This window comes from Homo sapiens, chromosome 12 (assembly GCF_000001405.40).
Source record: "Homo sapiens chromosome 12, GRCh38.p14 Primary Assembly".
In the NCBI taxonomy this organism is placed as follows: domain Eukaryota; kingdom Metazoa; phylum Chordata; class Mammalia; order Primates; family Hominidae; genus Homo; species Homo sapiens.
The window spans coordinates 27736746-27750156 of NC_000012.12; the positions used below are offsets into that span (position 1 = coordinate 27736746).

Here is a 13411-nt window from a genome sequence, read left to right on the forward strand (position 1 = left end):
AAGTTATTAGTTCCATTTTAAATACAGCAGCAACAGCACAGCATTGTATAGTGTAACTCATTTTTAAAAGAATCAGCTCTAGGAAAACCAAGATTAACATCTATCATCTTTCTATATCTACTTCTTATTTTTATTTTTAAATTTTTTTAGAGATTGAGTCTCACTCTGTCACCCAGGCTGGAGGTCAGTGGCACAGTCATAGCTCACTGAAGCCTTGAACTCCTGGGCTTATGCAGTCTCCTGCCTCAGTTTCCCAAGTAGCTAGGACTACAGGTGCGCATCACCATGCCTGGCTAATTTTTTAATTTTTGTAGAAACAGGGTTTTTGCTGTGTTGACCAGGCTGGCCTCAAACTTCTAGCCTCAAGCAACCCTCCCACCTCACCCTCCGGGATTACAGGCATGAGGTACATGCCTAGCTCTATGTCTACTTTTTAGATGAACTCATCAGATATGTTCATGCTATCTGGCAGATTCTTAGCACTGAGATGGTGAAGGGAACTTATATTGGACACAATCCTAGTAAAAGTAGCGTAAGCTATTGTTACATACAGATAACTCCATTAGTAATGAAAACAAAGAGATACTCGAAATTAAGTTAAAATAACACCGGTGTTTAGCTTCCTCAAGTAATGAACTACAAAGACTATTTTTATTCCAAAAACAGTTTTCCTAAAGCAGAAAAGGAATACCTGAAAACATTATCTTCTGTATTTAGTATATTGCATATTTTGCAAATTTTTCTGTGTACTGAGTTTTTAGAATTTTGACTTCTCCCGCTTTCTCTTTAATAGGTGCCCTTTAAGGAGGCAGAATTACGATTATGCAGTGTATCTACTAACAGTGTTATACCATGAGTCTTGGGTAAGTGTGTGTGAATATTTAATGATTTTGTCATTGTAATTTAGATGATGTTAACCTTTCAAAATACTCTTTGTGGCAAGTACTCAACTGAGTATTTTGTGAACTGCTGAATAATCTAAGTATGTATGAAATGTCATAGGTAGCTTCTACTGACTTTAAAAGTAAAGGTCTTGAAATAGGATTATTCAGTTCATCTCAGGACCTTGCTAAAATCATATTCCTAAAATGCCTTGAAACTTCAGAGTTTTTGACTTTGTTTTTCTTTTTTTGACTTTGGGTGAAAGTTGTCAGCTATGAAGAGAATAATAATTATCTGTATAATTTGAGAATTTATAATTCATCCTCTTTAAATAAACTGCAGAGCAAAACTTTATAGAAAGGTATTTTAAATGTTTATTGAAATTTTTAGTTAACACATAACATTTTGTGTGAACATTTGACTGTTATGCATTAGGTAGAACTAAGGGCAATTAATTATAGCTTGAGTATTCTTTTTCCAAAATGCTTGGGACCAGAAGTGTTTCAGACTTTAGATTTTTTCAGATTTTGGAATATTTGCATATTAATATATAATGAGATATCTTGGGGAGGGGACCCAAGTCTAAACAGGAGATTCATTTATGTTTCATATACACTTTATACACATAGCCTAAAGGTAATTTTACACAATACTTTCAGTAATTGTGTGCATGAAAATTTTGACCGTGCTCCATCACATGAGATCAAGTGTAAATTTTCCATTTGTGTGTCATATCAGTGTTCAAAAAGTTTTGGATTTTCAAGCATTTCAGATTTTAGATTTTCAGATTAGTAATGCTAAACCTGTATTTAAATAATATTAAAAATACTCGAGTCTGAATTTAGAGAGTTTTCATGTAAGTATGTACATTTATAAGGAAGATTTTGCCATGCTTGAGCAACACCTCATCTGATTTGAAGTTGGTAGCCAATATGTTTAGGTAACTCAAAGTTTGAAACAGTAATTTTTAAAATTAAAATAATTATAGGTATGCATTTAAATTAAATTTTTTGTGCCTTACCCAACACAGGGGACTCAATAGCATTTCATACTAGGAACATTCAAAGGAATAAAGTTAGCTGGAGAAGGGGGTCATGTTCTTTAGAAAGGACTTCATATGTCAGTGTCTACAGAAACAGTGAAAAAAGGAAAAAGAAGTAAAGAAAAATAGAAAAAATAAAAGTTTTCATATGGAAGAGGGCTTACATTTGTTTTTAATGACTCTTAGAGATACAACAAGGTAGCGACAATAGTAAGACAGAGACAGACTTTGGTTTACTGAGAACTTTTTTTTTTTTTTTTTTAAAGTCTCACTCTGTTGCCCAGGCTGGAGTGCAGTGGAGCGATCTTGGCTCACTGCAACCTCCGCCTCCCAGGCTCAAGTTATTCTTCCCGAGTAGCCAGGATTACAGGCATGCACCACTACCGCCTGGCTAATTTTTGTATATTTAGTAGAGACAAGGTTTTGCCATGTTGGCCAGGCTGGTCTCGAACTCCTAACCTCAGGTGATCCACCCGCCTCGGCCTCCCGAAGTGCTGGGATTACAGTTGTGAGCCACCATGTCCAGCCCTCCCAAGGGGAACTTTGTGAGAGAGCCATCATAAGATGCAATGAGCTACTTCAGTAGGTAGAAAACATTCCATCCATCGGCCACTTAGTGAAGATAGGCAAAAAAAATATACTCCTTGAATAGGTAGTTAAATTCCATGGCCTTTGGAACCTCCTTTCAGCCCAAGTTACTGTGATTCTGTGAATACATGCAGCTGTTCTCTAAACTGCTCACAGCTTTTCCTTCATATTATGATAAAAGAGTTTTCACACAAGAGGATGAATGGAAAGTGAAAGAAAAAAACTTGGTTGTGAGATGAGTAAAAGACAAAAAGTAGCTGGTAAGCTCTTCTCTTCTTTACAATTATTTCCATTATTATAATTTATCTGGATTTTCTAGTTCTGGCTTTAAGAGCAACATCAGAATAGCAGTTAATCTCTTTCCTACACAATTGATTTTAGAAATGCTGTTGGCTTAAGATAATTAAGTTTTCTTTTGAACCAGCAACATGGCTGAATTAGCTACAGCTTTATGGCTGTTGCTGCTTAAAGATTTAATAACTAACAATAAATACAACCCGTTTTGACTTTCTTATTTTGCCAGTATCTATTAGAATGAATTTGCCCAGAAGGAAATGATAGGCATAAATTCAGTGGAAGTTGATTTATGGGATTCTTTCTGTGGTTCCGTGACTTAGAATCCAAACAGGGTTGCATTCTGGATTCACACAGAAGCCTTTGATCTTTAGTGCTGATTACTTTGATGCCAGGATAAGTAGCCACATACAACTGTCCAAACAAGTATACTTGAAGAATTCTATATTACCGTTGTTTCTTGGTGCTTTCTAAACAAGTACCATCAGTGAAGAAGATTTTGAATACAGATGAGCCGTGAAATTTTGCGGAGCTGCTAGAAAAGAATTTTTATTGAATTGAAATTCATTTTCCCTCACCAACATGGAATTCATACTTGAAATTGATGTTATCACCGTTATTTAATCAAATAGAGAGCCTCTTTTTAATCCATTGCTTGATTTTTTTTATAGGCTAGCTTCTGAGCATTTAATACCCAAATATATGCTTCCTTTGGCTTTTTTTTTTTTTTCTTCGAGTCAGGGTCTTGCTTTGTTGTCCAGGCTGGAGTGCAGTGGTATGATCATGGCTCACTGCAGCCTTGGCCTCCTGCGTTCAAGTGACCCTCCCACCTCAGCCTCCTGAATAGCTGGGACTACAGGCGCATGGCACCATGCCCAGCTAATTTTTGCATTTTTTTTGTAGAGATGGGATTTCACTGTGTTGTCCAGGTTGGTCTTGAACTCCTGGGCTCAGGCAATCCATTCACCTTGGCCTCCCAAAGTGTTGGATTATAGGCATGAGCCACTGTGCCCTGCCTTCCCTTGGCTTTTTAACCTTCCCCTAGAGGTTACCTCTAAGTAGCACTGAGGGGAAAGTAGCTGCTAATTTTATGTAGCTTGTAGTACTGAAATCCCTCTGGAGAAGTGATCACCTAGACTCCAGTAGAAGGATATTACTGTTGTATACTATTCAAAACAGTTTAACTATAGAAGTGTCAAAGTAGATTTCAGTAAGCATAGACATCGCAAAGCCTAAGCTTCAGGCATAAAGGCTTAATACTGCCTCAAAGAATAATTATTTCAGTGCTGGGAAGGTGATAAGAGACACATATTCACTGGACCATTCATTTATCCTTCAGCAGTTTAAAGAAGCAAGGAGGCTGGGAGCACTTTGGGAGGCAAAGGCAGGCGGATTGCCCGAGCTCAGGAGTTCGATACCACCCTGGGCAACATGATGAAACCCCGTCTCTACTAAAAATACAAAAAATTAGCCAGGCATGGTGGTGGGTGCCTGTAGTCCCAGCTACTCGGGAGACTGAGGCACAAGAATCGCTTGAACCCGGGAGTCGGAGGTTGCAGTGAGCCAAGATCGCACCACTGCACTCCAGTCTGGGCGACAGAGTGAGACTCTGTCTCAAAAAAAAAATAATAATAATAATTAAAAAATAAGCAAGGAGAGTTGTAGAGATTTGGTGTCCTATTTTAGTATTACGTATTGTTAGCATTGGAATGAATTTTTAACCTTTGGAGCCAGACAGACATGGATTTGAATTCCAGGGCCATTACTTAGTACCTGTGTAATAGCCTCGACTATTTAACCTCTGAGGTTCAGTTTTTTCCTAAGGATTTTTGGATGGATCAGGGAGAATTTGTGTAAAGTGTCTGGCAAATAGTGGGCTCTCCATAAGCATCTATAAATAATGTTGATATTAACAATAATAAAATGAGGAAAGATTTTTTTCTTAGAATTTTAAATTCATGGTTTCCCAATTTCTATTAATATATACAGCTTATATTTAATTTGGCAGAGTTTGTACAAGTAAAGTCAGATCTATACTCTTTAGGATGTGTATCCTACTCACAATTTGACATAATTGATGATAACACAACTTCCTTAATTTTAACTTTTTAGTGATTTTTTAATAATTGAAACCTTCCGTAAATGATTAGGTTGAGAAATAATGAGTCAGTTTGCAAAGTGACTTGCACAAAAGATGAGCACAAATACTGGGGAAGAGAAAAAAAACAGTTGCTTTAGAAAAGTTAGAGATCTGAAATCAAATTTCAGAGATTCATGGGTGATTTTGATATTGAATTACTAATGGTTGCTTTTTTACATTTTAAAATTTCGGCTGTCTTATTTGGATTTCATGATAGTTTTATTGTCAGAACTATGTCTAGCTTTGTAATAAAATGGTTCTGAAAAGTCATGTAACAAAAATTTCTAATTTAGCCAAGCAGTGTTGCATTCCTGTAGTCCCAGTTTCTCTGGAGGCTGGGGCAGGAGGATCTGTTGAGCCCAGGAATTCGAGTCCAGCTTGGGCAAATAGCAAGACCCCCAATAAAAATTAAAAATTTCTAAGTTGGAGAATTTTATACTTACTAAGAGTTCGTTTTAAAGGGGACATTATTGCAGATATTTCTGATAAAAATGAATACTTTTGCAGAGCCATAATCACCATTTAATCTGTCGGATTTATGAGTTCATTTTGATTGTGTATGCCTACACACCTGCATTTCCACTGGAGAATGCTTGAGCAATGTTTGCTATGTTTGTTCTCTTTTGCATTCAACAACTATTTAGTTCTTGTGTACAAGATATGTTGCTAGGTGCCACTATCAAAATGAATGACCCCCTGCCTTAGGTACCTTGATTTCTGGAGGGAAACCGTTGGTTATAATATAATCTGTTGAGCTTAATGGAAGTAGGAACACAGTGCTGTGAGAGCCACAGACAAGGGTTAACTCCCCCTGAAAACGTCACAGGAATGATGATGGGTTTTAGAAGATGAACAGGAGTATGTGGTACAGAGTGGGTGAAGAACTTTCTAGGCCTTGTGGGTTTAAAGAGCAGGCAGAAGTTTGGTGTAGCCAGGGTATAGAACTAACAGGGCCAAGAAAGGAGGTGAGGCTAGCAGTAAGTCAGAGACAGGCTGTGAAGCTCGTCGTAGTGCTTATTTGCAAAATGTAGATTTGTAACCAGAGGGCAACATTGAGCTGATACAGTATTTTACTAGTTATTTGAAAAAGTACTTCTCACTATTTTTGTTTCATTTTATTTTATTTTGGGGGCTTGTGTGTGTGTGTTTTACTAGACAATTTTAAAAGTTTATTTTCTCTTTGAAGACTGAGTTTTGCTTTGTCACCCAGGCTGGAGTGCAGTAGAGCAATCATAGCTCACTGCATGCAGCCTCTACCTCCCAGGCTCAGACGATCCTCTCACCTCAGCCTCCCAAGTAGCTGGGACCACAGGCAAGTGTCACCATGCGGAGCTAATTTTTTTATTTTTTGTAGAGGTGAAGTCTTGCTCTGTTCACCACACTGTTCTCGAACTCCTGGGCTCAGGTGATCCTCCTGCCTCTGCCTCCCAAAGTGCTGGAATTACAAGTGTGAGCCACCACATCCAGCCCCCTCTCACTGTTTCACTGTTCGTGAAAGAGTAAACCATCCTGTGTCAAATATCAAGTGCACTTTCATTAAAAATGGCAAATGTTGGCTGGGCACGGTGGCTCACACCTGTAATCCTAGCACTTTGGGAGGCCAAGGCAGGTGGATCACCTGAGGTCAGGAGTTTGAGACCAGCCTGGCCAACATGGTGAAACCCCATCTCTACTACAAATATATAAATTAGCCGGGTGTGGTGGCGGGCACCTGTAATCCCAGCTACTTGGGAGGCTGAGGCAGGAGAATGCCTTGAACCCGGGAGGCAGAGGTTGCAGTGAGCCGAGATGGCGCCACTGCACTCCAGCCTGGGCAACAAGAGTGAAACTCCATCTCAAAATAAATAAATAAAATAAAATGGCAAATGTTTATTAATTGTCTATTTGCTTGGGTTGCTGGATATGAAAGTTAATAAATCGTGGGGAAACCATCGTCTCCAACTGAAGAACACTCTAGTGGGAGCAAGGAGGTGTAATAATAAATATCACAAAAGTGTTAAGGTTGTCTTAGTTTGAGCTATCATAACAAATTACCATAGATTGAGTGGCTTAAATGATAGAAATTTATTTCTCACAGTTCTAGAGGCTGGGGAGTTGATCAGGGCGCCAGCATGGTTGCATTAGGGTAAGGGCCCTCCTGGTTTGCAGATGGCTGTCGTCTTACTGTGTCCTCACTTGGAGAACAGAGAGAGAGGAAGGAAATTCCCTCCTGTCTCTATCATATTAAGGGTTGGGATTCCAATATCTGAATTTGGTGGGGAGACACAAACATTTGGTCTGTAGCACGGGTTCTATAATTTACCATTTCATTTTTAATTCTTCTCTACTTCTTCATTTCTTATGTATCTTTCAAGACTTCGACCTGCTTTGAGGCTGTTACTCTTTGTCTGACTTCTGCTTTGTATAGATATTAAGTTATTATGTCTTATTTTAATTTCTATGCTGGTCACTAGAACACCTGACTGCAGTTAGTTGTCTTAGTCATGGATTGTTCCATGTATGTTTTGTTTTTCTAACTTTAGGGCCTCATTAGCAGGGATCTGACCTATTGTAGTTTGTACTTCAAACTATCTAGGTCAGTGCTAGGTAAGAATACTAAATGTTTCATAGCAGCTATTGAGGCTGGGCGCGGTGGCTCACACCTGTAATCCCAGCAGTTTGGGAGGCCGAGGCAGGCGGATCACTTGAGGCCTGGAGTTGGAGACCAGCCTGGCCAACACAGCAAAACCTCATCTCTACTAAAAATACAAAAAAAAAATTAGGAAGTATTTTAAAAAGTATTTGAATTTTACATTACTTTGTAAGTTCTCCACAAATACTTGCTTCTGTGAGTTCAGTTCATGATGCAAATTTACAGTTGACAATGTTAATAGAATCTATATTCTAAAAAAAACTGGCTCTTCCTGGCAAGACGCATCTCTTTAACATGAAGCGTATGTTTTTATTTAGCACTTTTTGCATAAACTTACTGATGTTACAGTGTTTGTTAAACAACTAACTACACACATGCATTGAACTCCCATGAGTCCGAGCATTAGTGGTTGGCCAGTAATGGTAAAGTGTAACTACGTGCCACAGTTTTACTTGATTTCAGACAAATACATCTGGCCTTTGTTCTAAAAAGTGGACCTGTGATGTTGCTCTGAGAGTTAACTGGGTCTCTGTCTCTGACTTTGTTTTTTTTAACTCTGTGCTGCTTCAATGATCACCTTGCATTAACATAAAAAGGACACGAAAAAAGGGGTAAATTAGTTGTTCCATCTCTCCCCCACAACACACAGTGAGGCGGGGTCTCACTCTTTCGCCCAGACTGGAGTGCAGTGGCGTGATCTCGGCTCACTGCAGACTCTGCCTCCCAGGCTCAAGTGATCCTCCCGCCTCAGCCTCCCAAGTAGGACTACAGGTGTGCCACCACACCCCCAGCATGTTCCATCTTTTAAAAGTGCTTCAAAATACTTTGTCTTTTTTCTTTTTTTTAACACAAAGCATTTAGTGCAGCCATCCCTTTTAAATTAGGGCTAACTTTGAAGGTGAAGAATCAAACAGCTTATCTTATTATAGCCTTTTCATTTTATACACTGAGAAATTAAGATTTAGAGGAAAGGTCAGGTACTTTGCCCAAGGTTACAGAGCTTTTTAGTGGAGGAACTCAGACCTGAACTGCAGCTTCAGTGTATCATATTCTTTCCATGCTATCATATTATTTAGTTTTATTCAACTTTGACTTTCAAAATGTTATGAAATAAGAGATGAAATCAAATCTGACTTTAACTGCTAGTTTACTCTCCTTTCAAAATGAACAACTGACTAATTGAAAATTCATCTATCTCCATAACCTGTTTTCAGCTGGGGGTTGTATCAGTGCCACCTGGGAAGCTTTTTTTTTTTAAATTATACTTTAAGTTTTAGGGTACATGTGCACAACATGCAGGTTAGTTACATATTTATACATGTGCCATGTTGGTGTGCTGCACCCATTAACTCGTCATTTAACATTAGGTATATCTCCTAATGCTATCCCTTCCCCCTGCCCCCCACAACAGGCCCCAGTGTGTGATGTTCCCTTTCCTGTGTCCCTGTGTTCTCATTGTTCAATTCCCACCTATGAGTGAGAACATGCAGTGTTTGGTTTTTTGTCCTTGCAATAGTTTGCTGAGAATGATGGTTTCCAGCTTCATCCATGTCCCTACAAAGGACATGAACTCATCATTTTTTATGGCTGCATAGTATTCCGTGGTGTATATGTGCCACATTTTCTTAATGCAGTCTATCATTGTTGGACATTTGGCTTGGTTCCAAGTCTTTGCTATTGTGAATAGTGCCACAGTAAACATATGTGTGCATGTGTCTTTATAGCAGCATGATTTATGTGGAAGCTTTTAAAACTACAGATGCTTAGGCCCTGCAGAATCAGAATCTCTAGCTGTGAGACCCAGGTTTTGATAGTTTTAAAAGCTCCACAGGTGATTCTGGTGCTGAGCTCTGATTGTGAATAATTTCTCCAGTCTTTGAGTGTTGTAAATAAGGAAATTGATTAGGTTGGCTTGTCTTTTTTAAGACAGTTTTTGTACATGTAAGTTTGAGTATCCCTAATTTGAAAATCTGGTATCTGAAATGCTCCAAAATCTGCAACTTTTGAGCACTGACATGATGCTCAAAAGAGCGTTTCACATTTCAGATTTGGAATGCTCAACCAGTCAGTATAATGCAGATATTCTAAAATCCTTTAAAATATCGAAATCTGAAACACTTCTGATCCTAAGCATTTTGGATAAGGGATACTCAACCTATATCTAATATCAGAGCTTGAGGGTAAGGGGTGGTAATTAGAATGAAAGGGGCAGGCAAGGAAATGGAGGGATTTTTCTGTTGTCCATAAATAGGAATTTAGACTTGATGTGATAGACAATAGGCAGTGTTCTAGATCCCTGAGTGGGATGGTGCTACACAGAAGGTGACAAGCTCATACCTTTTTGCCTTCAGGCAGGACTTCATTTTATTATATACTTAAAAGACCTTTAAGAAAAACTCAGGTTCTCCTTCCCCACCCAGTGGCTGAAGTAATAAATTTGAGAGTTACAGTTTTCTTCCCTCTCTCCTGATACCAAATAAGTTACCAAGTCTTTCGGTTTTCGCTTTTAAATATCAGTTAAAGCTGTTTCCCCCTTTTTATCCCTACCGCTACAGTCTAGTATAAGTTTTCATCATCATTTACCTGAAAACTACAATAGGCTTCTAATTGATTTCCCTGTCTCATCTACCTTCTATATTACTGTTAGAGTAATTGTTCAAAAAAACAAGTCTCTTGTACCATATTCCTTTACAAAATCCTTCAGTGGTTTCCCATTACTTAGGATAAAGTCTGAACTCCTTAGCATGACATTCACAGCAATTTGCCACCTCATTACCAGCACTCAGGAAATATACATTATATAGCCTGTACTTTAGCCATAATGAACATAATATGTTCTTTCATAACTTTGCATATGTTATTCTCTTTGCGTATAATTCTTTTTTCAAATTGATCAGCCTTGCAAATTCATATGAATCTTTTAATACACCTCAGTTGTAACATCTCTGTTTCCTGCCCATCTGTTTTCCCTCCTCTAGTTAACATTCCTTTTATTACATATAATTGCCTGTATACGTGTCTGCTCACCCCATTAGACTGTGAGATCACTGAGGACAAGGAGTATATATTCATTCATCTTTATATTGCATTCAGTAAATTTGCATTCAGTAAATGTTTTTTAAAACTTAATTGAATTCTTTGACATAGTTAAAAATTTAGCTTTGGTAGCTGAAAGAATTGACAGTAATTCTTTTTTCACTTTTTATGAATATTTGCCTCTTCGTATTTTTTATGATTTTCAAATTGCTTGGGATTTTAAAAAATGGTTAAACTGTTTTCTCTCATACAGCACAAGGCCTTACTTGTAATCATGAGTAGTGGAATATTACTATGATTCATGTCCTAGGCAAAGAGAGTTGTAAATAAGAAGGTAGGAGGTGACAGGCTTGTGTGTTCAGTGGAGCAGATATTTCTTTGCCTTCTGTTACAACAGAATACATTGACCCTTGCATGAATTAGCTATTATGTTTTTCTTTGTATTACATTCATACAAGGAAAAAAAAAGAGGTTCAAGTTATGTTATTATATTTTTTGTTACTCCTTTTATCATGCCTCGAGGTTCCTTAGAACATGTTGTTCTAACACTAACGAGCAGTGTGGTTTTGGGCAAATTATTCAGTTGCTCTGGGCTTCAGCTGCCTGATCTGTAAAACAGGTGATAATAGTACTAACTCACTCCTAGGTTTGTTGTGAGAATTAAATGAGTTAATACCTGTAAGGCACTTAGAATAGTGCCTGGCATGTAGTGAGTGTTCCAACAGTTTTTCAGCCTCAGCCCATGCCACTTCCTTCTCATTGGCCTTCATTCATTTCCTCGATTGTGTTAAGCCCTTTCCGGCTTCAAGGCCTTTGTGGATGCTTCTCCTCTACGGGGATCACAATATTCATCTGACTGGCTCACAGTCAACTTCAAGTCTCTCATTAGACTGAATGTTCCCAGAGAACACTATGCCTGGCAGAATAGTTGTGCAATAAATATTTATTGAATGAATAAGTAAATGAATAATGGAGCCAACTGGAAAAGAGAACAGGATCACATGGAATGGAAAATTGCTTCTTCAGGGGTTGGGGGTCAGGGCAGATTCTCATTGCAGGCAGGAAGAAAAAGAAAAGTGGTGTGTGTGTGTGTGTGTGTGTGTGTGTGTGTGATCCATATTTATAAATTAAATGGTGAAATTGTAAATATTTAATGGTCAAAGCATTAAAATAGGAGTCGACAAATTAATTGAATTCTTTGCCTAAGTGATGATCAGTTTGAGCTTAAAATGGTATTTTTAATTGCCCCCAGTAATTTGAATATGCTGTTGTTTGTGCTTTAAAATTAATATATTCCAACTACACTTCAATAAAATAAATTTTTTTTGTGTGACAAGGTCTGGCCCTGTCACCCAGGCTGGAGTGCAGTGGTGTAATCTCGGCTCACAGCAACCTCAGCCTCTTGGGCTCAAGCAATCCTCCCACCTTAGCCTTCTGGCTACAAAAAAAAACTGAAACAGCTAATGACTTCAATGCTGGGTGTGGTTTTAGGAGCTAAAATGTTGATAGTAGGAGCCAGGCATGGTGGTACCCGTCTCTAATTCCACCTACTTGAGAGGTGAGGTGGGAGAATCACTTGAGCCCAGGAGTTCAAGGCCAGCATGGGCAACATAGTGAGACTCCACCTCTTTGAAAAGGAATTGATAGTGAACTATAAGTCAGGGCACAAAATTGTAAATAAAATGTAATCATAGCAGGGTTTTAAAAAACGGATTTAAGATGTACACCAAGTGTTACCAGTGTTAATGGGCCATCTTTGGGTAACAGAATTATGGATGATTTTTTTTTTCTTCTACTTTTTAGTAATTTCCATCTTTTCTATGAAGATGTATTTAAAATTGCAACCTGCTGATACTATATCAGAATTCAATTCTGGATTATTATTCCATTAGTATTAACCTCCTATTTTTAATATGACACTGAACTTTCGCTAAAAGACCAGGAAGTTAAAAGTGTTAAGGAAACTTACCAAAAAAAAAGCCATTTTAAGTCACATATACATAAACATTTCAAAATTGTTATTTTTAATTAAACATCTTGGAAAGATACTGCTTATTTGCAAATAGTATGGAGTCAGTGACAAAGAAATAAAGACCTCTTGTTTCTGTATATTTTATCTAATTTTGTAAATATCACTATATGATTTTGTGAGTGGGAATAATATAGTGAAACATTTGGACAGTTGTGTATTTACATTTACCTTCGAAGTTTTAGTTTACTGCTTCATAGTGGTGGTGGAATACATGTCATGTACATTTTGAAGCCATTCTGCAGGTTTGTGGAACCCCTTACTCCCAATGCTTCGCCTCAAATCCTTGGCATAGGTACATAGGTTTTAGAGGTGGGGAAATGTGGGTTTGAAACCCACTCCTCTTTGAAGTTGTATTATTAACAACAACATTTATGTAATGTTTACTATGAGCCAGGTCCTCTAAGTACATGGATATTCCTTACCTCTTTTAATCTTCAGAACAGCCCTGTGAAGTCGGTTCTTACAGAGATACAAGTTCAAGGAACTCACCTATTACAATAATAAATGATGAAAGTTAGGATTTAAACTTAGGTCTGGGAAATACCAAAGCTCATGGTAAATACCATCTTATACAAACTTCCTGGATGACCTTGAGCAAAACTTAGCTGCCTCAGCCCTGCATCTGTAATTTAGAAACCCAAAAAGCTTTAGAAATTGTTAGTCTTTCCGTAACTTATTTGGTGACAAACATGTGACCTGAATAGATGAGAGGCTATTTATATTTTGTTCATTCCATTTAGTGTAAATATTCATGTATGTTGCATT

General features: G+C 37.9%; 1 protein-coding gene across 2 annotated transcripts in view; it reads left to right on the top strand.

The window, feature by feature from the left end:
• Window positions 1–13411, top strand: part of MRPS35 (mitochondrial ribosomal protein S35) — a 45464-nt gene that overhangs the window by 25914 nt on the left and 6139 nt on the right. For both annotated transcript variants that reach the window (NM_021821.4, NM_001190864.2), the window contains one exon: window positions 794–863. In NM_021821.4, the coding sequence (NP_068593.2) occupies window positions 794–863 (70 nt within the window). The remainder of the gene's footprint in view (window positions 1–793; window positions 864–13411) is intronic.